General features: G+C 44.6%; 1 protein-coding gene across 17 annotated transcripts in view, besides 3 other annotated features; it reads left to right on the top strand.

Annotated features, from left to right (window-relative positions):
* The window catches only part of ACTR3C (actin related protein 3C), a 442186-nt gene that overhangs the window by 23877 nt on the left and 390611 nt on the right, over positions 1-27698 (top strand). For 15 of the 17 annotated variants that reach the window (XR_007060145.1, XR_007060143.1, XR_007060144.1 and 12 more), the window contains exons 2-6: positions 4322-4417; positions 6250-6357; positions 10076-10219; positions 13129-13302; positions 14824-14916. Coding sequence is in view for 10 of the 17 variants with exons in the window: in XM_047420749.1 (XP_047276705.1) it covers positions 4373-4417; positions 6250-6357; positions 10076-10219; positions 13129-13302; positions 14824-14916 (564 nt within the window). In the remaining 7 variants the exon portion in view is untranslated. The remainder of the gene's footprint in view (positions 1-4321; positions 4418-6249; positions 6358-10075; positions 10220-13128; positions 13303-14823; positions 14917-27698) is intronic. The other 2 variants (NR_147012.2, NR_147013.2) reach the window with 2 other exon arrangements.
* Positions 12168-12667: an enhancer, noted in NCBI's record as "H3K4me1 hESC enhancer chr7:149984091-149984590 (GRCh37/hg19 assembly coordinates)". NCBI's record gives its function as "activates a minimal SCP1, AML or CMV promoter by ChIP-STARR-seq in naive H9 embryonic stem cells {active_cell/tissue: H9 hESC(naive)}" and the evidence as "EXISTENCE:reporter gene assay evidence [ECO:0000049][PMID:30033119]".
* Positions 12668-13169: an enhancer, noted in NCBI's record as "H3K4me1 hESC enhancer chr7:149983589-149984090 (GRCh37/hg19 assembly coordinates)". NCBI's record gives its function as "activates a minimal SCP1, AML or CMV promoter by ChIP-STARR-seq in naive H9 embryonic stem cells {active_cell/tissue: H9 hESC(naive)}" and the evidence as "EXISTENCE:reporter gene assay evidence [ECO:0000049][PMID:30033119]".
* Positions 19425-20009: an enhancer, noted in NCBI's record as "NANOG hESC enhancer chr7:149976749-149977333 (GRCh37/hg19 assembly coordinates)". NCBI's record gives its function as "activates a minimal SCP1, AML or CMV promoter by ChIP-STARR-seq in naive H9 embryonic stem cells {active_cell/tissue: H9 hESC(naive)}" and the evidence as "EXISTENCE:reporter gene assay evidence [ECO:0000049][PMID:30033119]".

Here is a 27698-nt window from a genome sequence, read left to right as displayed (position 1 = left end):
GATTACAGGCGTGCACCACCACGCCCAGCTAATTTTTGTATTTTTAGCAGAGATGGGGTTTCCCCATGTTGGCCAGGCTGGTCTTGAACTCCTGACCTCAGGTGATCCACCTGCCCCTGCCTCCCAATGTGCTGGGATTACAGGTGTGAGCCACACCACCCAGCCTGTTTTTTGTTTTTTTTTTTTTTTTTTTTTTTTTTTTTTGAGAGGGGGTCTCTATGTTGTCCAAGCTGGAGTGCAGTGGCTATTCACAGGTGCAGTCATACAGCCACTACAGACAGCCTCGACCTCCTGGGCTGGAGTGATCCTCCTGCCTCAGCCTCCTGAGTAGCTGGGACTACAGGCACACACCCGGCTACCACACCTTGTTTTTTAAAAATAGTTTTTGGCCTGGCATGGTGGCTCACGCCTTGTAATCCCAGCCTTTGGGAGGCCGAAGTGGTGGATCACTTGAGGTCAGGAGCTCGAGACCAGCCTGGCCAACATCGTGAAACCCTGTCTCTACTAAAAATACAAAACTTAACTGAGCGTGACGGCATGTGCCTGTAATCCCAGCTACTCTGGAGGCAGAGGCAGGAGAATTGCTTGAATTCTGGGAGGTGGAGTCTCCCAGAGATCCGAGATTGGGCTACTGCACTTGAGCCTGGTTGACAGAGTGAGACTCTGTCTCAAAAAAAAAAAAAAAAAAAAAAAAGTTTTCATTACAAATTGTTGAAGCAGAAGGATATTTAAGAATGTATACGGAATGGAGACACCTTTCTCTTTTTCACTTAACAATTCATCATAGAGATTGTTTCTTCATAGAGTTCATTTTTTTAAATTGTTCCAAAGTGTTTAGTGATGGGTATTTAGGTTGTTTCTGATCTTCTGATACAGACAATGTTGACTTTTTACCTTTCCAAGCTACTTTGTTTTAGTTGGGTCTCTTAACCTCAGAATGTAATTTGATTTTGTTTTTGTTTTTAACTGAGAGACTTTTAGTAGTTGAATTTCCCATTTGTATTTGCTGATAATTTTAGTAATAGCAACTCACTTCCATTGAACACATCTGTGTATCCAGTACTGCTCTAAGCACATTATTTAGACTGCCTTTAATCTTTCCAACTCTCTGAGTGGGGTACTAATTACCTGCACTTTACCCATGAGGAGACTCAGGGAGAGAGGAAATAGCTTACCAAGCCTAGTAAAGTGGAAGGCTGGGATTTGATCCCAGTCAGTTTGACTTCACATCTCTTAATCGGACTGGTATGGCATGCTACTGTGTGACAGATATGTTTGGTCTTAATTTAACTATTTTTTTAAAATGTTATGCTTCATGTTTTTAATGTACTTTATTTATGTATTAGTATTTTTTAACTGAAGACTTATTTTTCTCTTTGCTTTGTATTGGGTGTGTGTTCTTGGTAATGATTAAAAGGACTCATGTTTGCATATTTTAGTATAATTTGATATGTTTACCCTGTATTTGTTTAGGGGTAACTAGCTCCTTCCTGCTGTAATCAGTGACCAGGTTGGTATTGCCACATGTTCTTGCCTCCCCTTCCTTCTCTCCACCACCTGCTTTTGATTAATGATGTTACTAAACTTATTCCAGTGTTAACATTTATAACTTTATGTTTACTAATGCCTCTGATACTTTATCAGTTTTAAATAATATCTTTTGATTTCACTGTAAGAGGCAAGTGTCTTTACACTCTCTCCTTCTTTCCTTGTGCACTGCTCAACTTGATATCATTTTTTTCCATTAAAATTTATAACATTTACATTCTGTTCTTAATTCCCAGAAAATAAAAGTCTTTTTTTTTTTTTTTTTTTTTGAGACGGAGTCTCACTCCATCGCCCAGGCTGGAATGCAGTGGTGTGATCTCAGCTCACTGCAACCTCCGCCTCCCACGTTCAAGCAATTCTCCTGCCTCAACCACCCAAGTAGCTGGGACTACAGGTGCACACCACCATGCCTGGCTAATTTTTGTATTTTTAGTAGAGATGGGGTTTCCCCATGTTGGCCAGGCTGGTCTCAAACTCCTGACCTCAGGTGATCCGCCCGCCTCGGCCTCCCAAAGTGCTGGGATTACAGGCATGAGCCACCGTGCCCGGCCAAAGAAAAGTCTTTATTCCTACGTCTTAAATGGCTTCATTGCTCACTGTAAGTCTTTTGCTGGACTTTCTGCATTCTTCTTGAGTGGATAAAGTTTATCCTCTAATAGTTCATGAACCCATACATTTTGGCTCATGGGAATGAAATTTTCCAAGTTCTTGTATGTTTAAGGATATATATTTTTTCTCCTTAGTATTTTATTTTATTGTTTTTTTTTTAAATTGACACATAATGTGCATATTTATGGGGTACAGAGTGAAGTTTTGATACATATAATGTGTGGTTATCAGATCAGGGTAATTAGCATATCCATCATCTCAAATATTAGATATTTTGATTTTGTAACATACTTGATTGACACTGTGGCCAGATATAGAATTCTTGGGTCGTACCTTCTTCCCTTGAAGACTCTTAAGTGTGGCCCTATGTGTCCTAGTGTTAAATGTAGCCGTGTTGAAGGCTGAGGCTGATTGTACTTTCCCTGTCGTAGGGGTGTATTAGTCTACTCGGCTGCTGTAATTTTGTTTATACCACAGGTTGGGTGGCTTAAACAGCAGACAGTTCGTTGTTTTCTCACAGTTCTGGAGGTTAGAAGTCCAAGGTCGAGGTGCCGTCGGGGTTGGCTCCTGGCGCAGCCCTCTTCCTGGCTTGTATGTGGTCACCTTTCCTGCTGGGTCCTCACATGCCTTTCCCCTGTGTGAGCGTAGAGTGGGGAGAGAATAGGAGAGAGAGACTGATTTCTGGTGTCTCTTCCTTTTCTTAGAAGACCTTCCTCCAGTCCTGTCAAATTAGGGCCCCACCCCTATGACCTCAGGTAACCGTGATGACCTCTTGAAAGGCCCTATTTCCAATTATAGTACACTGGGAGTTAGGGCTTTAATGTATGAACTGGAGGTAGGGGGAGCACAGTTCATTCATAATAAAGGGTAATGTATACGTTTTGCCCAAAGGTCCAGAGACTTTTTATTTTTTCAGTTTTAAATACGAGATATAGACCCATATTTGTTGACAAGGAAAAATGTTCATAGTATATTGTTGAATGAGAAAAATCAAGTTTATTTATTCTTTTTCTGTTTCTGTTGTCTGTCATTTCCTCCTGTTTGATGATGGTTATTGTTTTAAAATAGATACTTGGATTCTTGGAAATGTCTTTGGAAATTCTTGGGAATTTTTATCTGCTTTGTTTCAATATTTTTCCAGATATTTTTTTTTTTCGGTCTTTTGGAGACAGGATCTTGCTCTGTCACCCAGGTTGGAGTGCAGTGGCACAATCTTGGTTCATGTAGTCTTCACCTCCGAGGCTCAAGTGGTCCTACCTCAGCCCCCGAGTAGCTGGGATCACAGGCATGTGCCACCACACTTGGCTGACTTTTAAATTTTTTCATAGAGGTGGGGTCTCCCAATATTGCCCAGGCTGGTCTCAAACTCCTGGACTCAAGTGATCCTCCCTCCTCAGCCTCCTAAAGTGCTAGGATGATGGGCGTGAGCTACCACGCCTGCCCCTGGATATGTGTTTTTGTCTGCCATTTGTTTTTCCTCTTTTCTCTGTCCCTTTTCTTTCTCTTTGAGTGTTTTTATATCACTGTTGGCTGGCTTCTTTGTGCCCCTTACTCGTCTCTGAATGAGCAGAGTTCTTCTGGACTAATGGCGTGTGGGTAGGCTGGGGAGGTCCTGGGCAGCGTCTGGGGGAAGCTGTGATCTGCCCTGGACTCTTCCCTTGCCGCTGGACTGTAAGGGTGCTTGGCCTAACCCTGCCTGCTCTGCCACCCTGTGGCTCCTCACACCGGCCTGTCCTGAGCAAGGGCTTGCTGCTGCTCCTCTGGCTCTCCTTTGCTGAGACCTGAAGTCACCGGTTCGCCTTTGATGTCCTCACTCGTCTTGGTTGTGTTTTCATAGCCCTTGGCAACTTGCTTCTGGGATATTCAGTTTCAGGGTGTTTAGGTGTTATGTTATTGAAGATAAGAGTTTCTTTTTCTGTAACTTGTTCTAATTTGGGTGGGTAATAAGAACAGAGGCCTTCAGAGAAGTATTTACTCTGACGTCTTAAAGCTTTTAAGGCCCACGGCCAGATTTCTTTAATACACTTTGGGCATCCTCTGTCTGTAAAATTAGGGAATTGTATAATGTCCTCGCTAACATACTTTCAGGTTAACCTGTTTATGGTTCTGATGTATTTACATGAAATTTGGGTAAACACTAAATATAGTGAATGTTTTCTTACAGACAGAACCTCCACTCAATACACCAGAAAACAGAGAGTATCTTGCAGAAATTATGTTCGAATCATTTAACGTTCCAGGACTCTACATTGCAGTTCAGGTAAAACCAGTTATGTTTGTGATTCCTAAAGCACCTGAGCTGTCTAGTAGCGGAAGAAATGGTATTTCCCAAGGTTCTCCGCTGGAAGACTGCGCTGTGTGCCCTTCCTTTTTCCACTCCCTCCCCCGTCCCCATGCCATTCAGGACTATAGGGAAGGTGTCCCATGACTTTTCTTTTTATATTGATGCCATTTTTTGGTATAGACGTCGTCTGGCTCTTTTTACATGCATTAAAGTCTCATGCATTTTTATCTGGGTGACAAGATATAGGTGTAGATGTGCTTCTTCTTTTGGCATCTTTGACTTTGATCAGAAAAACAAAATAATTACCTTTAGAGGTTTCCCCTTTCCGATTTTGGGCTCTTATGAGTCCCAGTGTACTTGATTCTGAGGGACCCTGTGTTTTCATGAGCTCGCAGAACTTGTTCTGAAGCTGCGGTTCTTGGTGTGATATTTTTTGGTTGCATTTGGTCATTATTTGCCTGCCACCTTATGTAAGGGAATTGACTGAAATTTTGGGGAATAAATGAGATGGGTGTTGCCCAAATGTTTTCTGCATAATACTAGTCACTTCTAAGGAGGAGGAGGAGGAGGAAAAGTTCCATAGAAAGATGAATTTGGGCGATGCTGCATCCTGCAGCTTTCTCGGGCTGATTCACAGTGCCTATCAGCACAGTCCAGGCTCTGAGCATTCCTGTGTCGAAATCTATGTATTCTAGCACTTCCAAATTCATTTAACTACAGATCTTCCCCCTGGCTAAGTTACTTATATTCCATGGCCTAGGGAAACACTTCAGGAGACATAAGACTGGTGGTTCTCAAAGTGGTCTGTGCAGCAAGTTTACCTGGAGAATGTTTTTAGAAGCACAGATTTTGGGCTTCGTCTTCGACCAGGGTTTTCCACCCTCAGTGCTTTGGGCTGGGTAGTCCTTTGTTGTGGGCGCCGCCGTGTGCATTGCGGGGAGCGTAGCGGCATCCCTGGCCTCTGCCCACTAGAAGACAGCAGCCCCACCTCAAGCCTCCCCGCCCCGACGAAGAAAATGGTACCAGATATTGTCAGATGTTCCCTTTGGGGCAACATTTTCTTTGGTTGAAAAATTACCCTGTACCTTCCAGATTAGAATTTCTGGGTGTGAGGCCTAGTAATCTGTATTTTAAACAACGCCACAAGTGACCTCATTGCCAATCTGTGGCCCCACGCCGGAAACCAATGAAGTAGAAATTAAAATCTTATGATTCTATAATGAAATATCTTTTTCACTGGCTTTTCTTTGTAAAACCTTAGTTTTTTTTCTTTCTTTCTTTTTTTTATTTTTGAGACAAGGTCTCACTGTGTTGTCCAGGCTGGAGTGCAGTGGTGCGATTATGGCTCACTCTAGCTGCGACCTTCTGGGATGAAGGGATCCTCCCACCTCAGTCTCCCGAGTAGCTGGGAGTACAGGTGCGTGTCACCACGCCTGGCTAATTTTTGTATTATTTGTAGAGATGGGGTTTCACCATGTTGCCCAGGCTGGTCTCGAACTCTTGGGTTCAAGTGATCTGCCTACCTTGGCCTCCCAAAGTGTTGGGATTACAGGCATGAGTCACCACAGTCAGCCACGTTTCTTTATTGAAAACTTGACTCCTATAGTTGTAAGTACTCAACATTTTCGTGTTAGTTGTCCAAGTTTGAATTGGAATTTGAGGGACAGGGGTTAGAGGATGGATAGGAAAAGGAAAGAGTTACTCAGACATATTAAGTAAGAGAGTTTGTTGATTGGACCTGGAAGGAGCAGGCAGGTGGCTTTAGAAAGAGTTCCTATGTGCGAGCGGTTTTCATGTCTTTTCTCCAGGCAGTGCTGGCCTTGGCGGCATCTTGGACATCTCGACAAGTGGGTGAACGTACATTAACGGGGATAGTCATTGACAGCGGAGATGGAGTCACCCATGTTATCCCAGTGGTAAGCAGAATAGTTAATATATAAGTCTCTGTAGGCTTAACACCTGATTCGAGGTAAGGATGGAAATTAAAAAAAAAAAAAACCTCTTCTGTAATGAAAATACAATTTAGATGATAGTTGTACTTAGAAAGATAATAAAAGTTTTTTATTTTTTGCCACCTTATATAAAGGAATTCCCCAAGTATGTGGGAAAGAATGAAAAGGATGGCCAATTATTGTGGCTTTGGCAATTTTCAATTCATGGTGGCATATTTTTACAGTCAGAATGTCAGAGAATGTCCAGGATGTCTCTGGATCTTCAGAGCCTCTGCTTGATCCCCGTGGGTGTAACATCAACAAGAACATTTTCCGGGGTTATTCCGACATGTTGGGAGATAGACACCGTTTTGGATGTTGAATTTGTAGGTGCAGTGCGTGGCCATTTGAAGGAGCACATCTGTGTTCTCTGAAAAGATGTGAATGGCAACCAGCTCAAGCTTGGAAAAATTGCTTTTTGTTTTAAAAATTTATTTAAGGGCTGGGCGCGGTGGCTCACGCCTGTAATCCCAGCACTTTGGGAGGCCAAGGCGGGCGGATCACCTGAGGTCGGGAATTCGAGACCTGCCTGACCAACATGGAGAAACCCTGTCTCTACTAAAAATACAAAATTAGCCAGGTGTGGTGGCGCATGCCTGTCCCAGCTACCTGGGAGGCTGAGGCAGGAGAATCGCTTGAACCCGGGAGATGGAGGTTGCAGTGAGCCGAGATCGCGCCATTGCACCCCAGCTGGGCAACAAGAGCGAAACTCCGTCTCAAAAAAAAAAAAAAAAAATTTAAAAGCCAAGAAGGGGAGATTGTACATTTTGGCTTGCAGAAGGCTCTGCAATACCACTTTTTGGTTTCAGAGAAGTGATTCCTAATTTGGGTTTCAAGAGATCTCTGAATTTTTCTTTTGGTCCAATGGACTATTTAAAGGAATTATCTTAAATTCATTTTTTTTGGAAAATGTATCAGAAGTGTCTGAAGAGGGTATTCAGAGGGAAGTCAGACTCATCCTGGTCTTTCTCCTTTGAGGTCTCCTCCTCAGGAACCACCATTGCTAGTTACTTCTGTTATGTTACAGATAATGTTTCTGCATATGTATATGGGGGGGTGTGTTTGTGTATATATTTACATACACACAGCTCTTTTAAAATGCAAATTAGGATTTTCAAAAATCATTTAATTTAATTGAAAAAATGGTCACCATTTCATTTTGAGAAGGTGATGGGGTGATGTACTAATACCAATGCCTTTAATTCCTTGAAGGTTAGGTATCACTGCAGAGGAAAGGCTTAATGGTCGATGGGCCTACAGTCAGGGAGAAAAAAGCCAGCCTCCCGCCCCCATACCTTGTACTCCTGGCTATGTGTCCTTCCTGTGGGGAGGAGAGGTGGCTGCCCTGCCCTGTGAAGTGTGCTCTAGACTTGAGCCCCCTTCAAGCCAGTCTCAGCACTCCTTTCGGTGGATCTTGAGAAGAGTTAGTGCCCTGGGTGCAGAGCACTCACCGAGAACTCAGGCTGCCATTTCCTCAGAGAACTGCGCTGCTGAGATCCAAGATGAGGCCCCCGTAGGCCCCTGGCCTGCACCCCCTTTGGTTCTTTGCCTATTTCTTATGTCTGATTTAGGAAAAGGAAAGAAAATACATTTCACAGTGTGTCCAGGCCCACTAAGAAAGTTGTTTGAAAAGATTTTTAATCGTATCTTAGTTCAGTTTTTCCTCCAGCTATAAAAATTACATTAGTCATTGAAAATTTGGATAAAATAGACAAATTTGAAGAAATAAAATTACCTTTAAAGCCGCCCAAAGACCTGTATTATACTTTTAGCCGTATAGTCTTTAAGCTCTTTTTCTTTTTTTTTGGAGATGGAGTTTCACTCTTGTTGTCCAGGCTGGAGTGCAATGGCACGATCTCGGCACACTGCAACCTCTGCCTCCCAGGTTCAAGCGATTCTCCTGCCTCAGCCTCCTGAGTAGCTGGGATTACAGGCATGCGCCACCATGCCTGACTAATTTGTATTTTTAGTAGAGATGGGGTTTCTCCATATTGGTCAGGCTGGTCTCGAACTGCCGACTTCAGGTGATCCGCCTGTCTTGGCCTCCCAAGGTGCTGGGATTACAGGCGTGAGCCACTATGCCCGGCCTAAGCTCTTTTTCTAAGACACGTGTGTGCACGCATGCATGCACACACACACACACTTTAAACACAATTGGAATGTCTCATGTCTGGTTTGGGATTGTACATATAATACAATCCTAAGGTTATATTTTGCGTATTAATTTAACCCTAGTTTTTTTCTCTTGTGGTTAAATATTCTGTGAAAATACATTTAAGAAGTACATAATTTATTTTTCTGTTGTTGGACATGTATCTTGTTTTAATATTTTTACCACTGTCATGAGCTGATATTTATTTAACAGTATTTTAGAAAATATTATGTGTAATGCATAGAATATAGTAATTGTGAATAGTTTATGTGTTAGAAAGCTAATATTATTTTTATGGGTTTAAGTTGAGTTTTAGTAATTTATACTTTTATCTCCATCTTAAAATACTTTACAAATACTTGGACTCTGCAGAAAGGCTAAATCTTTTTTTGCTTCTGGAAGTTAGGTATATCAGAAAGAAACCATAGGAGGAATTCAGTAAGTTGTTCTTGCAACTTTACTGGTGACTAGATGCAGCTATTAGAATGAATACATCTGTAAAATGAAGTCAGCGTTTCACTTCTGTTCCCTTCTGTCTCATTTGGGGACTGTGGCACAGAAGCTGTGATGTGCTGTAACGTGAAACCTGAGTGTCTTTACCGGATGATCCAGCGGTGGGCGTTGTCCACTCTGACGGTCAGCATCCTGCTCATCCCCTGTAGAACAAGCTGGATGTGTGTCCAAGCCTGTGGCTCCTGTGGCAGGTCTGTGCCCACAGGAAGGCTGATGAGGGAGCTTTGGGCCCATCATTGCTGTGGGCATGTGGACACTTGACACTGGCCCTGCCATTGATCGGCCCAGGTCGTGGTCACCCTCCTTTCCTGGCCCCTCACAGACATGCCTTCACTGGCTTAGGGAGGCAGTGGAATGAGAGGCTCCCAGCCCCCAAAACCAGTGCTGTGTGCTCGACACACGCAGTTTCATCTGAACTGTATCATTGGCCCCAGCAGGGTATTGTTTGCCTCATACGATGGACAAACGCGCTGAGGCTGAAGCATGTGAAACTTGCAAATGTGGAGCTGGGATTTGAGTCCAGGTTGTTAGAATCTAAGCCCTGTGTATTAACCAAATTGCTGACTTTTAAACGTAAGTAGATTTATAGTTGGCTTAACAATTTATAAATAAAACTTTTTCCTTTTTGTTAGGGAAAGAACCTATTGGGTTTAGTGTTCTTACAGACAGCATTTCTTTTTGGAAATGAACTATCTTATGTGGTTTTTCTTTTCATATTCCTAATGAAATCATTTTGGTTGCTTTTGGAGAGTGTCAGGTTATTGGAATAATCTGGAATTTTGAATATTAATGGAATTGCATATGCAGTCCTTTTGAAAGACCTTCTGTACTGAGCTTGCAGAGGGTGGGGATTCTGTCAATGCTTGTCAGTGCCGTGAGGGGCAGACAGGGAGGCTGAGGCAGGAAACCTCGTGAGTCCAGGCTGCTCTCCACCACGAAATCACTAACACAGCTGTTCTGCCTCCTCTTCTTCCCTAGGCAGAAGGTTATGTAATTGGAAGCTGCATCAAACACATCCCGATTGCAGGTAGAGATATTACGTATTTCATTCAACAGCTGCTAAGGGAGAGGGAGGTGGGAATCCCTCCTGAGCAGTCACTGGAGACCGCAAAAGCCATTAAGGTAAAAACAGATGGGAAACCGGCTGGTTTGGGGGTGAGAGAGATGGTGTTCTGGACACTTCCCCTTGGTGCCATCATCCCTGCCCCTCCTTTCCATCCTCTCCCCTTCCCATGAGTGTGGGGCTTGATTTGTTTTACCCCTTAAGTGGGCTGAAGATGTAAAGCTTAACCTCTTCCAAACTAGATGCTCTGAGGTTCCAGCTGTCACTGAGAACAGCTTGGTAGCTGGTACAGCGTACCAGCGTGCAGAGGCAGCATTGTTCAGCTGGAGCCTCACTGCTGGAGCCTCATCTACCAGAGCGCTCCTTCCATACTGCCTCCATGCTTCGCTGTAGAATCAGGAGGCGACCACAGCAGCAGAACACTGCCAACCTAGGATCCAGAGCTATTGCACAAAATTCACACACAGGTGTGGCTGTGACATGTGGCCATAAGCATCTTCTTCCTTTATGGCACAGTTACTGAGTGTAGCAGAGCTTGATGGGGGTGAGCCTGACACCCACACTTCTCCTCACTGCCTTCCTCCCTTCTCAGCACCTCGTAACTGAGGCTGGCTGAAGGAAAGGAAGCACCAGAGATGATTCCCGAGGTGTTTTTAGGTCAGGAGGCACTGGCATGAGGCAGGCTCTGCAGTTGGGTATGACCTGCCCTGCTTTACCTGGGACCAGAGATTCCTGGGAAGGGGGCTCTCAGTGCTGAAATGGTGATGTGGGGAAGACGTGGTCCCTTCCATCTCAGGGGAAGGTTTCCTGAGGTATCATTAGATATTCTTTTTTAGACTAAAATATTTCCTAAGGGGTTACCTTCTCCTTTCTTTGCCTTTCCTCCATGGAAGAATATTTGACTATTTGATCCAAGCTCCCTTGCCACTCCAAATCTGTTAGAAATGTAAGTCAGAATTGAGCCCCTTCATAGTGGCTCACATCTATAATCCTAGGGCTTTGGGAGGCTGAGGCTGGAGCATTGCTTGAGCCAGGGTTCGAAACTAGCCCAGGTGATATAGCGAGATCTCGTCTCTATTTCAAAAAAGAAGAAAAAAAAAAAAAAGAATTGAGCCTTTTGTTATTGACGCCCAGGGTCCACTCCAGTGAGTCTGAGTCCTCCCTATTTCCGCCAGGATTGCTGAGCAACACTGCCAAGGAGGGGCTTTCCTGACCCTCATGCTGGGCCTTCAACTCTCCTCACGGGCTGTTGGGGTTCCAATTTGGACCCTGAAATCTGGGCTGATGTGCTCGATGTGACTATGTGTCTCCCCCCAGTGAAGGCTGGGAGTAAAAGAGACTGTTCGTAGCCTCCGAATCAGCTGCCCTGGCCCTGCTCTGTGGGGTAGCCCTGTTAGTTCTCACCTGACTTCTCTCTTTGAAGGAACAGATCCTGAAAGGCGTGGTTTAGAGCTCCCCCCGCTTCCCCTTACTGCCATGGCCTTCTGTGGTCGCGAACAGGCCTGAGGGAGTGTGTAACGTGAGCACACCAACCTTGCAGCATGAATCCTGAACCTTAAGGTTAAGCCTGTTACTCTGCACCCAACTCAATGGAAACATTTCCTAGGAAGCATTTGAGTTAAGTAAGCTGAGATGCTGTAGGATGTTGACCAGGCCTGTGAGGAGAACTGAATGCCTTTGTCTCCAGTCTTGGTAGATTTGAGGTTGTAATCAGCTGACCCTGTTGCTCTGTGTCATCAAAGAACACAGGGTTGTGTAGCACTTCTTGCCTGTCAGTCTTCTTAAAATTCCGCTAGAGTATATCCAAGATACCCAGAAGATGGCATTAGAATATGTTTCAGGGATGCTAAGAAACTTTAAACTTAATACCACGAGAGCGTCTTTGGAGGTCCTTGAGAGAGCCATTCCTTCCACAGTGTGCTCAGCGCCAGCTGGGCGGCCCACCTCGTGCTTCCTGTAGGCAGCAAGTATCTGGGGGTCACCTGCTGCTATGCTGAGGCCAGCTCTAAGGACACATATCAACACAAAGGTGTCCAAGAACATTCATCTTACCAGATACCCATGAAACACTTCGCATCCCTCAGGCTGCCTGTCGGTGCAGGGTGGGAATCGTTAGCGACTTCTCTCGCAGCAGCAGCAGCAGCAGCATCCTGGCGGCTTCAGTCCTCCCACCTGACTCTGCTTTTCCTTTCTTCCCCGGGACCTATCACTTTATAACCTACCATGTCATTTACTTATTATGGTTGCTTATTGTTTTCTGACTCCCAGCTAGAGTGTAATCTTGGCAGGGATCTGTGTGTTTCGCTACCTTGTGTATCCCAAGTGCCTAGACAATAAATCTATGTTGATTGAGGGACTTAGAATACCCAGTCAACAAGGTACACTGTCTCTAGGCAAAGAGATGGTGTCAGTGGAGCTGATGACAGTGCTGTGGCCAGCTCCACACCAGATTAACAACCAGCAGGTTGACAGTGGCCACCCGGCTTGTGGCATGCTGGGACCCAAATGGGACCCAAAGAAGCCTCTACAGTCAGGTTTAGGGTGTAGACAGTGCCGCACTCGGTAGTTGAGCTCGCAGCACGGGTCCACTGGTCCAGTGTGGACCACAGTGAGGTGCCAGAGCAGGCCATAGGAGGCATCTGAGAGGAACAAGGCAAGACGAGGTGCTTTCTAGACACCTGTAGACATCATTTCAGATATGATAGCGATAGAATTGGATAGACCAAGGCTGAGATTAATAGCTGAGTTGCAGAGAAAGCAGACTTACCTGTCCGAAGTCCAAGTGTAACCATGTCTAACATGAAAGACGATGGAATGTGAGGCTTGATGCATATCCACACTAGAGTAACGGTGGGGGCGGTTCTGATCCCAGGGTGTGTTTACTGCATGGGCTTCCTGGTTATTTGTCTGAGGGCAGAGACACTGGGCAGTTGTTAATGCCTGGCAACATCTTTGTGTGTGTATGCAGGAGAAATACTGTTACATTTGCCCCGATATAGTCAAGGAATTTGCCAAGTATGATGTGGATCCCCAGAAGTGGATCAAACAGTACACGGGTATCAATGCGATCAACCAGAAGAAGTTTGTTATAGACGTTGGTTACGAAAGATTCCTGGGACCTGAAATATTCTTTCACCCGGAGGTAAGGTGTTTCTTTTTTTGTGTGCTCAAGTGTGGGATGGAGCGATACTGCCACCCAGAGTGTAGAAAGAGCAGTTCCCAGCGAAGGGCCTGTGAGCAGGGTGGCCGTCATTCGGTCTCTCTGCATCCCCCATGCAGTTTGTCTGCTTGACAGATTGTTCAGTTTGCCTCTCCGTAGAGCTGGTTATCTGTTTTAATAGTTAAGGATGGGTTATACCACAAATAGTTAGGAAGACTTTTAGGAGCGATAGATGATAATAGAATTAAAAGTAATCTCCAAGGGTTGTGGGTGGTCACATGCTAGCATTACAAGTAGCTACTCTCAAGGCCTGTATGGAGGTTGCCTGTGCATAAGAGTGGGATAATATGTAACCTTTCTATCTTTGGTGATTGCCCTTCCTAACTTCTAATTTTAACCCTGGACAGTTGGTCCTGCTCTGTTCCCTGCTGCAAGTTAGGTAAAGCTTCTGTCTAAGGCCAGCATTTCTATTATTTAGATAATCTTAAGAATTAGAAATGTCATCATTTTAACTAGTAGTCATAAGGAATTATTAGTACTTTTGCAGAAAGCAGTAATTAGGAGGCACATTTTAAGATTTACATATAATGCATTTTATTTATATTTTGGTATATATTCCTGGCTAATTCAGTTTATATTCAGTAGGTGGGTTACAAACTGCTGTTTGTTTTTAGATGTGTATATGACTATTTTGTACAGAGAAATAGCATAGAATGTGTTCCTCGCTAGTAATCTGAAGAATAAAATAATAACAATGATAATCTAGTGAATGCTCACTTTTAATAGTATTGATTTGAAATGGACATAGAACAGTCAAATGTCCAGTGAACAGCTGGTGAGCAACTGAATATCCTCCTCCTTCCTCTGAGAGTGCACATTCAAGCTTACTTTGATTTTTAAAATATTTCAAATGAAATGTAATTGAGTTGAATTCGTTATACTTTAGCTTATTTAACTTATGGAATTGAATCTATGGCTGTTTATTCAATAACATGATTATCATGTGGATTGTTTCATGTTAAACAAACCCTTCTCATTAAACAAAACACTTCCCTGCATCTTCTAGACCAGGTTTAATTAATCTTTCATTGAACCTGTTTCTTTTTCCTTATATCCTAATTTTCTCATAATACGAATATTGTCAAATGATATGTCAAAGTCATGTTTCTCACTGCGTGTCACGTAGATCGTGCACATACTCTCCACTGCTCTTAGTAGACTGAATCACTGTGTATTCATGGGGTGGGGGTGGTCTGTCTGTGATGTTGTTGGTATTTTTTCTTCACTAAATCCATACATTTTACCTCATGAGGAGAAATGTGTCATCACCACCCCACGCACACGTAGTCACATGGGATTCATTTGACATATCCTTCATTCCAATGTGAATTCTTTTAAGTTATAATAAATTGTATATTTGTTAAAGTTACTTTAAAGGAGTGTTCATGTTGTTCTATTTGAGAGAAATGTGTAATGTTTCTTTTATATTGATATACAATTCAGTTTGCCAACCCAGACTCTATGGAGTCCATCTCAGATGTTGTTGATGAAGTAATACAGAACTGCCCCATCGATGTGCGGCGTCCGCTGTATAAGGTATGAGCTGCATGGGTAAGGTACTTTGATTTCATTCCACAATTAAAGGCCCATAATTCTTAGAAGACGGTATTACTGTCTATTACTAGTAAATATCCCTGTTTCACCTTCTGTTTCATAGGATTTGTTAAAGACAATATAATTGTAAGAGAAAATGGAAATATGACTCAGTTAACTAGAATTTTTATTTTATTTTATTTTATTTTGGAGACGGAGTCTTGCTCTGTCACCCGGGCTGGAGTGCAGTGGTGCGATCTCAGCTCACTATAACCTCCGCCTCCTGGGTTCAAGCAATTCTCCTGCCTCAGCCTCCTGAGTAGCTGGGACTACAGGTGCACGCCGCCACGCCCAGCGAATTTTTTTGTGTGTGTTTCAGTAGAGATGGTGTTTCACCATGTTGCCCAGGCTGGTCTCGAACTCCTGAGCTCAGGCAATCCACCCGCCTTGGCCTCCCAAAGTGCTGGGATTACAGACATGAGCCACCATGCCCGGCCAACTGGAAGTATTTCAGTATTGTAAATATATTTTATTTTTATCTGACAAGATATATTTTAAGGTGGACAGTTTTAGCCACAAATATCGATGGAAAGTAAGAGTGATGCCCTCCTCCATGCTTTCCGTGAATTCCATTGGTTTCGTTTCATGCATATTTGGGTTTGGTGCCAATGTGGTGTCATCACATAGAGGTTAGAGCCCAAAATGGGACAGTCAGATAGAATATGCTCATGTATTATTATGATTTTTTTCAAAATTCTTAGATTTCAGGGAATTTTGAAACCTGGAATGAGGAAAATCTAGTCTATATGATTATTGAGTAAAAAGAAATCCTACTGACAGCCTGAGATGGTGAGCAGGAGGTGATGGGCAATTAGCCTTCCTGCACCTTTAATCAGTCTTTGCTTGAGTGAGTCGCGCCGTCAGCTCAGTGGCATGACTCACTCGCCTTACTCAGACTCAGGTCGCTGAATTGTACAGAGAAGAGAATCAGGCTCAACTGACAGCACTCAGCATTGTGTCACCTGTGCCGTGGAATACTATGTAGCTTTTAAAAAGAATGAGGTAAATCAATATAAATTCAGATGAAAAGATAGCTATAGTATATATGAAGTGAAAAAGGAACTTGTAAAATTTACATATATTTCATTTTATATAAAATATATAGTTTGCGTATTTTTTGAATTATGTATGCTAAACTCTTAAAGTAAATAAAATATCTTTGGGGTGGAATGATGGATAACTTTTACTTTCTCCATTTTGTGTTTTAAAGTTGTTTGAAATTTTACTGTTAAGATTTTTTTATAATTAAAATTTTTTTCTGTTTAGATAACTTTTGAGGGTGTAAACAAATTACAGTTCAGTTTTTGCTGCATATTCTTAAACACTTGTCTAATACAAAATACAAAGAAAGGGGAACTAGAAAGAGACTGGAGTATGCAAATGAAGAAAGCTAGCGGGTCATGTCCTTCCCACTTCAATCCCGCCTGACATTAGCTGTGTCTCCTCATCAGTGAAAGCAGCAGCAGGGAACACTGTTCAATCTTAATCCCATCATAAAGCAGAGGAAACTGCCAGCAGTTACAGATTGCTCCTCACGGGGTGGGAATTTTCTTGTTTGACAGTTTAGCTCCCTGGACTTTATAGAAGTTTTGGAGCAGAGATGGTCTTGGAGACCATGTAGATGGAGCCCCTTATTTAGTAGATAATGACACTGAGCCCCAGAGTTGGGAAAAGGTGGCGAAAGGCGCCTGGGTTATGTGCTAGGTGAGATCATGTGGCTGCCAAGTGGCACGGTTGGCTTTTAAGCCCGTTTCCCGCATCTTTGAAAACTCATGCTTTTCCCACCGCATCACACTGAAAATTATGTAAAATGCGGAGGGAAGAGGATTCTTCTTTTTGTTGCCCGTGCTGGAGTGCAGTGGCGTGATCACAGCTCACTGCAGCCTCGACCTCTCGGGCTCAAGCGATCCTCCTGCTTCAGTCTCCCAAGTAGCTACAGGAACATGCCACCATAGCCGGCAAGATTATTCTTCAAAGAGGGAAACCCTGTCCCTGACCACTTTGTCACTAGGATAATCATTTCTTCTCTGTGGCTTTCAGAAGGGTGTAGCTTGGCCCTGGCTGTCAAGTTTGTGCAGAATAAATCCTGTCTTCCCTCAGCCGTCTTGGTTTTTTTGAACAGGACCTCTCCAGTGTTATGAGTGCCTTGCAAGTGATAGAGAATTCATGTAGGATTGAGAGGTGGAAGGATTGAATGTCCTGGGGCTGGCCATGCTTTCTCGTTTGTCACATAGCTGAACTCTATACCCCGTTGTGGGAAAGGAGAGACACAAAGGAGGTCACCTCCTTTGCCACCTAAGTTAGAGTAGACCAGAATATGTTACGATAAAAATTAATCCAAAATCTCAGTGTTTAGCAGCAAAGGTTTATTTCTTTGCACGTGGTTCACGTCTGGTGTGGTCGGCAGTAGGCTCCACCACCGTGTTGTGGCTGCCCTTCTGGAACACATCGCCTCAGGTCCCCGCTGCCGGGGAGGAGACAGCTGGTGCGCCATTCCACCCCTCCTCCCCGGGCCGTCACGTGGGCCAGCCTCCACCGGGCACTGGAAGCGGGAGGGTGATAGAATGTTTGGTGGGCACCACTGCCTCTCATGTAGCCACGAAGAAAGGGACTTCTTTCCAAAGTATGGGTCTTGATGACTAAGTTGAAGTTTAATATTGAGGCCTAAGAATGCCCGTTTCTGTGCGTTAGCCTGCCAGGTAACAGCTGCTGTAGTGTTTTTTTTCCCCATGGTGATATGAGACCGGGAGTTGGCCAACTTTTTCTGTAAAGGGCCAGATGGTGAATCATTTTGGCTCTGCAGGCCGTATGGTCTGTGCTGCATTTATTCAGTTCTGCCAGAGCAGCCGAAGACCGTGTTGAACGACTAGGAGTGGCTGGGTTCCTATAAAGTTTTATTTACAAAAGCAGGAGAGAGCCTGTTGTAGACATGTGAGGAGTTACTTATGGAAGCCTCATTCTAATACTGTCCGGGTTGGCCTGTGATAATTATCTGCGGACCCTCCTCAGGCGGGGCATGTTGAGGCGTGGCCTTTGCTAGTTCCTCAGCAAGTCAGTGCTGCCTTTAGGAAAGACTGTGGAAGAGTCACTGCCGAGCTCTGCTCACAGCCCAGGGTAGAGTCACACACTACTCTAGGGCTCCTGCTGACTTGGTTTCTGGAAGCCGTCAGCCCTCCCAGACGGACTCTCGCTGTGTGGGATGGAGTAGGGTCCCTCCAGAAGCAGTGTCTGAGCAGTGAAGCTGCACTGACGAGGTTCGCTCCTGCTCGGTGCACTCCCTGCTACGCTCCCTTCTGTAACTCCTGCTCCTTAGTGCGGTGGAGAGCATGCCCCGAATCGTCTGTGTTAGCAAGTGCACAGATCAGTAGGTCTGTGGGTTTTTAAAAATAATTCTAAAACACTGTTCTGGTTAGAAGACATGCTGCAAATACTTCTGCAGAGCACGCAGTCACCTTTCTCTGGACGGCCGCGCATTCCTGTGTCTTAGGGGTGTGCCTTTCCTCTTGGTTCACTATGCAGTGCTTCCAACCTGCTGGGTCACTCTTGCCGGGTAAGACGCCCTCTCTCCAGGAGTGATGGTGCCGATTCCTGACCTCGGCTACCTGTGTGCTTTCACTGGTTCCACAGCCTCATTTGGTCAGCTGTGCTAGCCACATAGACCAACAGAGTGGGTGCCCTGAAGATGTGCTTTTGGCTTCAGAAGAGGTCGTCTCTCTCCCTCTGCCACACCTGCGCCTTGAGGCGCTCGTCTGGGCCAGTGGGGCTTTTTTCTCCTAGCTTTATTGAAATATAATTTTTAATTTTTATGAGTACTTAATAGGTATATTTTTGAGGTATATTGACAAGTAAAAATTGTGTGTGTGTGTATATATATATACACACACACACACACACACATCAAGAGCAGGAAAATTGTGCATATTTAAGGTGCACAGTGTGATGATTTGATACAGGTATGTACATCGTGGAATGCTTACCACAATCAAGCTAATGAAGACATCCATCACCTCACACAGCTACCTTTTTCAATGTGTGCAGTGAGAATATGTAAGATTCCTCTCTCAGCAGATTTCCACTACACCGTACCCTCTTCCTAACTGTACTCACCATGCTGGAATTAGGCCTTCAGAGCTTGCCCATCTTCTGACTGCAAGTTTGTTCCCTTTGACTAACATCTCCCCACTCCGCAGCACCTGGTAACTGCCATTCCACTCTCTGCTTCTGTGAGTTTGACTAAAAATTCAGAATCTTTAAACAAGCAAAACAGTTTTTTTAGATGAAAGTAGCCATCATCTGTCCGATTTTTATTTCCGTCTGATGTGTAGATGAGAAGGGTATTTACACATCTGCTTTATGTGTTCCGCCTCCAGGAATGACAGGGGTGGGGCCTGCGGGGAAGCCTCCGTGTGAGAGCAGGTGAAAATCAGCCTGGGCCCACCGTGGGCTTCATCCAGGAGCTGTAAAATGGACCGGAGTCTGGGTCCCACCCTGGGAGATTCTGATGTAATTGGGCTTGGGCTGGGTGGAGCCTGGACACCTGGATGGTAAAAGCTTCCCAGGTGACTCTAATGTGCTTCTAACCTGAGAACCGCCATCAGCGCCAGCCCACTCTTGGATCAGCCAGTGTTTAGTAACTTGCACGCTTTACTTGAGGGGGAAGCCAATTTGAATTGCTTTGTAATGTAATGGATGTCTTTCTACTTCTCAGTTCTATTCAGGAGGTACTTGAGTACCTACTAGGTACAAGACACTGTTGTTAAATTAGGGGATTTAAGTATGTACGAGATGATTCGGTTCTTGTCTTCAAGAGCTTATAAAAAAGCTAAAAATACGGAAATAACTCTAATGGGAACCACTACAAGCTAAATGTCATTAAAGTGAATCATGCAAATTATGGTAATTGAGAGAAGGGGCAGATTGCATTTAATTAGAGGGGATCAAGAAAGGCTTTGAGAAGCTGCCATCTGAGCTGAGTCTGAGAGCTTGGCCTGCAGAGCTGGGGGTGGGTGGACAGGCCAGGTGGAGGGAAGATAATGAGCGCAGATAGAAGGAGAGTGGGCAGATGCCTGCGGTGCCTGTTTTGGCCAGAGCCTACGGTGGTGGGGAAGGTAGTGGGAAACAAACCTAGGAGGGAGGGTGGGACCAGCAATAAAATATCTTTAGCCTGCTCCAGCAGTCTGGATCCAGCAGTGGGTTGGGAGTTGTTAAAAACTCTTCATGAAGTTTGTGAAGCAGATGTAAATACATCCTGCTATAGCAAAGGGATTGATTTTTCTGTAACAAATTGCTTGAATTGAATATATATAATTATGTGAATGCATTTTAAACTAGAGAAGCATGTTGCAGGGTAAATGGGTTATAGATATAAAATAAATAAATACTTACTATTTAGAGACAGAGCCTTGCTCTGTTGCCCACGCTGAAGTGCAGTGGTGTGATCACAGCTCACTGCAGCCTCGACCTCCTGGGCTCAAGCAGTCCTCCCACCTCAGCCCCTCAAGTAGCTGGAACTACAGGTGTGGGCGACCACTTGCAGCTAATTAAAAATTTTTTTTTGTAGAGTTGAGGTCTTGCTCTCTTGCCCAGGCTGGTCTTAAACGCCTGGCCTCAAGTGATCATCCTGCCTCAGCCCCAAAGCACTGGGATTATAGGCGTGAACCACTGCGCCGGCTCTATTTTTAATTTTTAATGTTTAAGAGTATGTTTAAATACCTTTAGTATTTGAAGAGAGAAAATCAGAAAAAAATACATATCATTGGTTTTTTTGTCTTTTCAAATAGGTATTTTATTCAGATGAAGTCCTGGTTGAAGTATAATATGTGAACAGATAAAAAGGTAGCTGCTCTGGTTTGGTCAGGCTAGTGGGCAGAGAAGGTTCCAGAGCTCTGCTCTTTTAGCCCCAGTTCCACACTAATATCCCTCATAACTTCTATTTGATGCTTCCTGTTGATAAATCCCCAAATGGCATGATTTTGTCTTAGTGGGAAGGGAAGGCTGATGTTAACAACTGGAAATTGGACATTGACTTGCCCAGCTCACAAGAACATTAAGACACCTGTTGCCGTGGGAGGCCGGTGGAGATGTGGATGGCGGAGCTCTGCCACTGTGGCAACATCGAGTAATGTCAGTGAGCACCTGCAGAGCGCCAGGTCCCACCGCGGGTGCTGAGCAGCCAGGGCATGTCAGGGCTGTGCTGGGAGAGCCGCAAGAGCCCAGGGTGGGCCTCCGTGTGGACAGGAGTATGAGAATCCGAGTCCGTGCTCTCCAATGGTGCTCAGTGGTGATGGCAGTGTCTGTCTCTGTGCTGCCCAGGGTGGCCACTGAGCCCCTGAAATGTGACTGGTGCAGCTGAGGAACAGCCTTTTAAACTTTAACTTTTGTGAGTTAAAATTGCCATATGTGGCTGACGGCCATCCTACAGGACGACTCAGATCAACTCAGGTCGGAGTGAAGGCTGGTGTGACCTGGTCAGTTCAGGGAATGCAGCATGGGAGGGGAAGGGTTTTCCAGCAGCAGGATCTGTGTTGCAGCACTAGGGTGAAGGAGAGTAGCGCGATCCTGTGGGTCTGGAGGGAATTTAGCCTCCCTGGACCTCATGTTTGAATGTGGGAATGGGGAGTGTGAAGCCTGGGATGTGCTTGGGGCCAGATTACACAGGGCTTATGGGGAAGGCACAGGGGCCAACATTGCCAACTGGGGCTCCGAGGAAAGACAGGCATATCCACCTGGAGGGGCCTCGCATGGAGTTAGATTTTATCCTGAGGGCGTTGACAATTTTCTGCAGGAGTGTAATGTGACCCAACTTAAGTTCTAGAAAAGTGCTTGGGCTGCACCAGGGGATGTGGATTGGAGATGGAGACTGGATTTAGGAAGGCCACTGTAGAACCACGCAGAGGCAGGACAGTGCCTGTATTGGGAAGTGGCTGTAGGTGGCTCATGGAGGAAGCCGGGAGAGGAGAGAGGCTCCAGAGCATAGGTGAGAGCTTGACAAGTGGGAGGAAAAGGTTCAGGGTTCTTGCTGCTTATCTAGGAGGGTGGGGGGTCATTTACTGACAGGAGATACAGGAGCGGGGCACCCTTCTGAGGCAGCGGAAGACTAGATCTAGTTTGGTGGAGATGTTGAGTTGCATTTGTAGGTTGGAGGCTTTGCAGGTCTGGGCCAGACATAGAGATTTGAGGACCAAAGGTGTGCTCACAGAAATGAAAGGTCTGCAAATGGATGTCACCAAGGGAGAGTAACAGGTGAGGACAAGACGGCCTTAGCCTGAACCAGCAGAAAGGTCAGGCTTTTAAGGATGAGCAGAGAAAGAAGGGCAGAGAGATTGTTAGTCAGGGCTCTTTAGAAACAGAACCAATAGCGGGTATCTCACGATCTCTTTTTCTTTTAAGAGATGGGGTCTTGCTGTGTTGACCAAGCTGGTCTCGAACTCCTGGGCTCGAGCCTCCCAAAGTGCTGGAATTACAGATGTGAGCCACCACACCTGGCCACTATTTCTATCTCTACATTATCTATAAAATGTAAGGAATTGGCTTGCTTTCAGGCTGGCAAGTCCAAAATTTGTAGGAAGGCTGGCAGGCTGGAAACTCAGGCAGAATTCCTTCTCGGGGAAATGAATTCCTTCTCGAGGAAATCTCAGTTTTTGTTCTTGAGATCTTCAGCTGACTGGATGAGGCCCAACCACATTATAGAGGGTCATCTTTCCTTAATGTTGACCACATCCACAAAACACCCTGACAGCAACACCTCGGTTAGTGTCTGGTTAAATCACTGGGTGCTGTGCCCTGGCCAAGTTGACACACAAAATTAACTGTCACGGAAGTCAAGAAGGAGTCGCCTGAGAAGAGAAAGAAAACTCTAGAAGCCAGGGGGCCCTGTTAAGTGGCACTGAGAGGTCACACAGGATGAGGGTCAAGAGGTAGCCCTTGGGTTCACCACACAGGGGTGAGCAGCCTTGTGAGAGAAGCTGGGCAGAGGCCAAATCACAGCAGTTGCAGGCCGAAGAGGAGGTAGTTAGAGGAAAGAAGACGTGTGGGTAATCCTTGTAAGAAATTTGCCATTAATTGTTATGTCTCTTCCCATCAGGCGGCTGTTGAGGGCTGGACCTGGAGATTGGCTTGGATTTCTCCTAGGACACTGTTGGGTATCATAACAGCCCGTATTTTAGACATAGATTTGTTCAGACTTCGCTGGGATTGCAATCTCTGGGTTCAGTTCAGCAGTAAAAAGCTCCAGTTCCTAAGGAAGTAAAACTTTTCAAGAACACAATATAGAAACAGCAGGGGCTTCTAATAGGGCTGTCCTCTTAACCTGTGGTGGTCTTTGGCATGTAAATAGCAGGGAGAGGGGAAGGCATGTCTATGAGCGGTTCTTTACCTTGCACCTGCAGTTACAGAGGATGGCTGATAGGTGGCACTGTGTGTCTGTTAAATGGAGTTAAGAGAGCCTCTTAGTATTACAGGAATGAAAATTTTTGTTATTTTTAATACCGCATTTGATATTAAGCACTTGCTGTTAATATAGATTTTATTTCCAATCTTTCTGACATAAATTTCAGGAGATGAATGGGTTACGTGTGGCGTTTATAATGGTATGTGCTGTGACATTCTTTTACCAGCATAAAGACAGGGCCTTTCCATCTGCAGAGGTGGTTTAAAATGGAGATTTTTATTTGGCATCATAAAATATACATTTATCCGGCAAGGTAAGGTTGCGGGCTATTGAGAAATTCAGTCGATATAGTGAACTGAATAAATAGACGGTGGCTGACCCCGGGTGGGAAGCAAGGTGTGCCGTGAGACGGGGTTGAAGGGAGGAGGGTGGTCAGAGGTGCACCGAAGAGAACTTAGACTCTACAGATGAGCAGAGTGCATGATTTCCAATCTAAAATTCATGTTCAATTTAGAAAATTTGAGATGTAAAAAACACTTTTACAAAGGAGAAGTTACTCCTTTGTAGTCGCTGTTTTTGTTTTGTTTTTTTTTTGAGACAGAGTTTTCGCTCTTGTCACCCAGCCTGGAGTGCAGTGGTGTAATCTCCAGTGACTGCAACCTCTGCCTCCTGGATTCAAGCAATTCTCCAGCCTCAGCCTCCGAAGTAGCTGGGATTACAGGTGCCCGCCACCACGCCTGGCTGATTTTTGTATTTTTAGTAGAGACGGGGTTTCGCCATGTTGGCCAGGCTGGTCTCGAACTCCTGACCTCAGGTGATCTGCCTGCCTCGGCCTCCCGAAGTGCTGGGATTACAAGTGTGAGCCACCGCGCCTGGTTGTCGCTGTTTATGTTATTACTTCATCTTTCCCTTTTATTTTCATGAACTGTAAATAGGTGGATAGATATGTCCTCTTGTATTTATGTTTCATATGCTATGTATTAACAGCATTATGTTGTGAGCCCTTTCTTAAGCGACTGAAATTCTTTAAAAACATGATTTGTAATGAGGCCTGATGCTCCATGCTGTGTCTGTTTCGATACCCACTCTTTTTTCTGTATTTAGGTTTTTGACACTCTTCTAGCTTAGGTCAAGATTTATTGCATTACCAGGACATGTATGCTTTTCTGGCATAATCTGGCATACACAGGAGTCTGTAACTAATGGTGCTTTTTGAGTCAAATGATTGTGATTTGAGAATCTGCTGGCTTGAGTGAAGCAGATACTTTCTGGCTAAAATGCTGACCTGCCTTAGCCAGTTTTTGAATGCGTTTGGATTTCCAGTTGCAGTTCTGAGTGGGCTGTGGGAGGGAATGACTGTGGGCTGGTGTCCGGAAAGTGTCCAGAAGACTGCTGACCGCCAGAACGTCATCCAGGAGATCTGCTGATTTCTCACACTGTATCAAAAGTGATAAGGGATCACTTTGTTTTCTGAATTAAGTGTTTTTTTTAGAATCGATCATATTGGCTTTTGGCTTTTGTGGGAAGCGTTTTGAGCAGTATTATTTTTAGTTTGTCGTGGTTAAGAGTATAGGCGTCAGGGCCAAGCTGCGTGGGTCTCCACGTGGGCTGAGCCGCTTCCTAGCATCGTGACTGCACTCATTCCCCAGCCCCTGCGTCCTCAGGTGCAGGATGGGCCAGGCGTAAGCGTCTCATGGAATTATTAGGTCACCCTTACACAGGCTGAAGTGTAGTACTTGATATGTGATAGATATTACTACAGGCATAACTTGGAGATTTTGTGGGTTCAGTTTCGGACCATCCCAGTGAAGTGAATGGTGCAATGAAGTGAGCCACACACATTTTTTGGTTTCCTGGTGCACATGAAGGCTATGTTTGCACTATATTATGGTTTAAGTGTATAATAGCATTATGTCTAAAAAACCAGTGTACATACCTTCATTTAAAAAATATGTTATTGCTAAAATATGCTGATACAGAGACACGAAGTGAGCGTGTGCTTTTGGGAAAATGGCGCTGACAGACCTGCTTGGTGCCGTTTCCTCAAACCTTCAGTTGGTAACAAACACATTATGGGCGAAGTGCAATAAATGCCATCTTCTAGTGAGGCGTCCTGACCACCCTGCTCTAGACTGCACCTCGGCGCTTTTTCCCACGTCATTTTGCCCAGCCTTGCTTTATTTTTTTCTCCATAACATTCATCTCCTAATTTGCTATATATTTTAGTTATTTATACTTAATAGTTCTGTCTCCCTACCTGAAACACATCTCAAGAGGGCGACCATTTTGATATGTCAGATTCATTGCTGACCCGTGGTGCTTAGAACACTCCTGGCCCATGCGAGGTGCTCAGTAAATGCTGCTGACCTGGTGAACGAGATGCACGGCAGGCTATGGGGCCTGGGGGCTTTGCGCTCTCACAGAGGAGTCAGGGAAGGAGGGGTTGCCAGGCTGGTGAGGTGGTGAGTGAGGGCTTTCCAGGCACTAGAGACATCCCTCAGAGATGCTCAGAGTCTGCAAGACCACAGAGATGTGGAGGCCGGAGGGCGGGGGTACAGGTTGGGGTGAGACCTGAGGGGCCTTTGTCTGCTGTCTGGGGGGTTTGACTTTAGATTTGAAGACCAACTCTATAATCTTACTGAAGGAAGGATTTCAAAAGATAGGCTCAGTAAATATTTGTTAAACTGCGAAAGTAAACAAACCTTGAGTTCAGAATCTGATTTTAGGAAGTCATGTTAAGCTGGGTGCAGGGGCTCACGCCTCTGTAATCCCATCACTTCGGGAGGCCAAGGCAGAATTGCTTGAGCCCAGGAGTTTGAGACCAGCCTGGGCAACACAGGGAGACCCCATCTACCAAAAAAATTAGCCAGCTGTGGTGGAACGCACCTGTGGTCCCAGCTACTTGGGAGGCTGAGGTGGGAGGATCCCTTGAGCCCAGAAGGTCGAGGCTGCAGTGAGCTGTGATTGCACCACTGCGCTCCAGCCTTAGCGACAAAGGGACACCCTATTTCAAAAAAAAAAAAGGTTGGTCTGTGCTCTATAAGCAGTGAAATAAAGCAGTGATGTATGCTATTTCTGTCATTACTTTGAAAACAGTATTAGATGAATAGGGCATTTTAAAATGTTTTGTCTGTGCTAGATTCGCTGATGAGAGCTTTCTTTCAGACTGTTGTGTGGGATAATCTGCTTCTTTTCTGTAAGTAAAGGGATTTTATTTTAAAATGTTAAAATGTTATTATTTATGACATCTTTTCTTTATTTCTTAGAAAAATGTTTACTTACTCTTCCTTGTGGAAATTGATTAAGAATGCAGGCCGGCCTTCATGGCTCATGTGTGTAATCCCAGCACTTTAGGGGGCTGAGGAAGGAGGATTGTTTAAGACCAGGAGCTGGAAACCAGCCTGGTTGACATAGCAAGACCCCATCTCTACAAAAGAAAAATTTAAAAAATTAGCTGGATGTGTTGGATGCACCTGTAGTCTCAGCTACTTGGGAGACTGAGGCAGCAGGATTGCTTGAGCCTGGGAGGTGGAGGCTACAGGGAGTTAGGATTGCACCACTGTAGTCCCACCTGGGTGACAGAGTGAGACCTTGTCTCAAAAAAAAAAAAAAAAAACCAAAAAAACACACAAAAAAGACACTATTAGGCTAAATGTATATATTTCTGAGGTACAGAATTATTAGAGTAAGCACTGTTGCTTTACTTTGAGATGAGATGGAAAGAATACATTTATTGGTAATTTCACGTTTCTCTTTTTTTCTGCTTTTTCCTCACTCTGAAGGTGAAACAAGCATAGGTGATAAGAAACCAAAGCAAGTGACGCCTGTAAGCCACATTTAAGCCATCATAGTAGTTCTGGATAGTCACTTGAGTTGAAAAATAATAAGCTCAGACAACGTTTTAATCCTCATAAAAGACTAGTTAGAAAACCAGTTTTACTTTGATGCAAGCAAGCTAGCTAAAGTTAGAGAAGGGGTACTAAGAAAATAAGTGGGGACAGTCTCTTCTCTCCTGATCCCGCCCCTCAGCTGCTCGGGGGACGTCTCCTTGTGTTTAATCTCCCATCAAGACTCCTGCTGAATACATTTTAGGAATGAGAGGCAGACTCTCAACCATGTCATTTTCTCAGAGAAAATTGGATTGTGTGTTGGTAATAACAGTACCTGTCACACTGAGAAATGGTTTGTCGTAGGCATGGCTGAGAGGCTTCAAACCGACTTTGTTGTGGTTTGCTCTCTAATTTATTTCTTATGTTTTCAAGCACCAGGAAAGGGATGCTGACAGTGTGAGGGGCTGTGAAGCCTGCGAAGTTGGGTCTAGGGCTTTTTCCTTTTC

Source organism: Homo sapiens, chromosome 7 (assembly GCF_000001405.40).
Source record: "Homo sapiens chromosome 7, GRCh38.p14 Primary Assembly".
In the NCBI taxonomy this organism is placed as follows: Eukaryota; Metazoa; Chordata; class Mammalia; order Primates; family Hominidae; genus Homo; species Homo sapiens.
The sequence above is the reverse complement of the archived record's forward strand: the minus strand, read 5'-3'. Positions and strand labels throughout refer to the sequence as shown.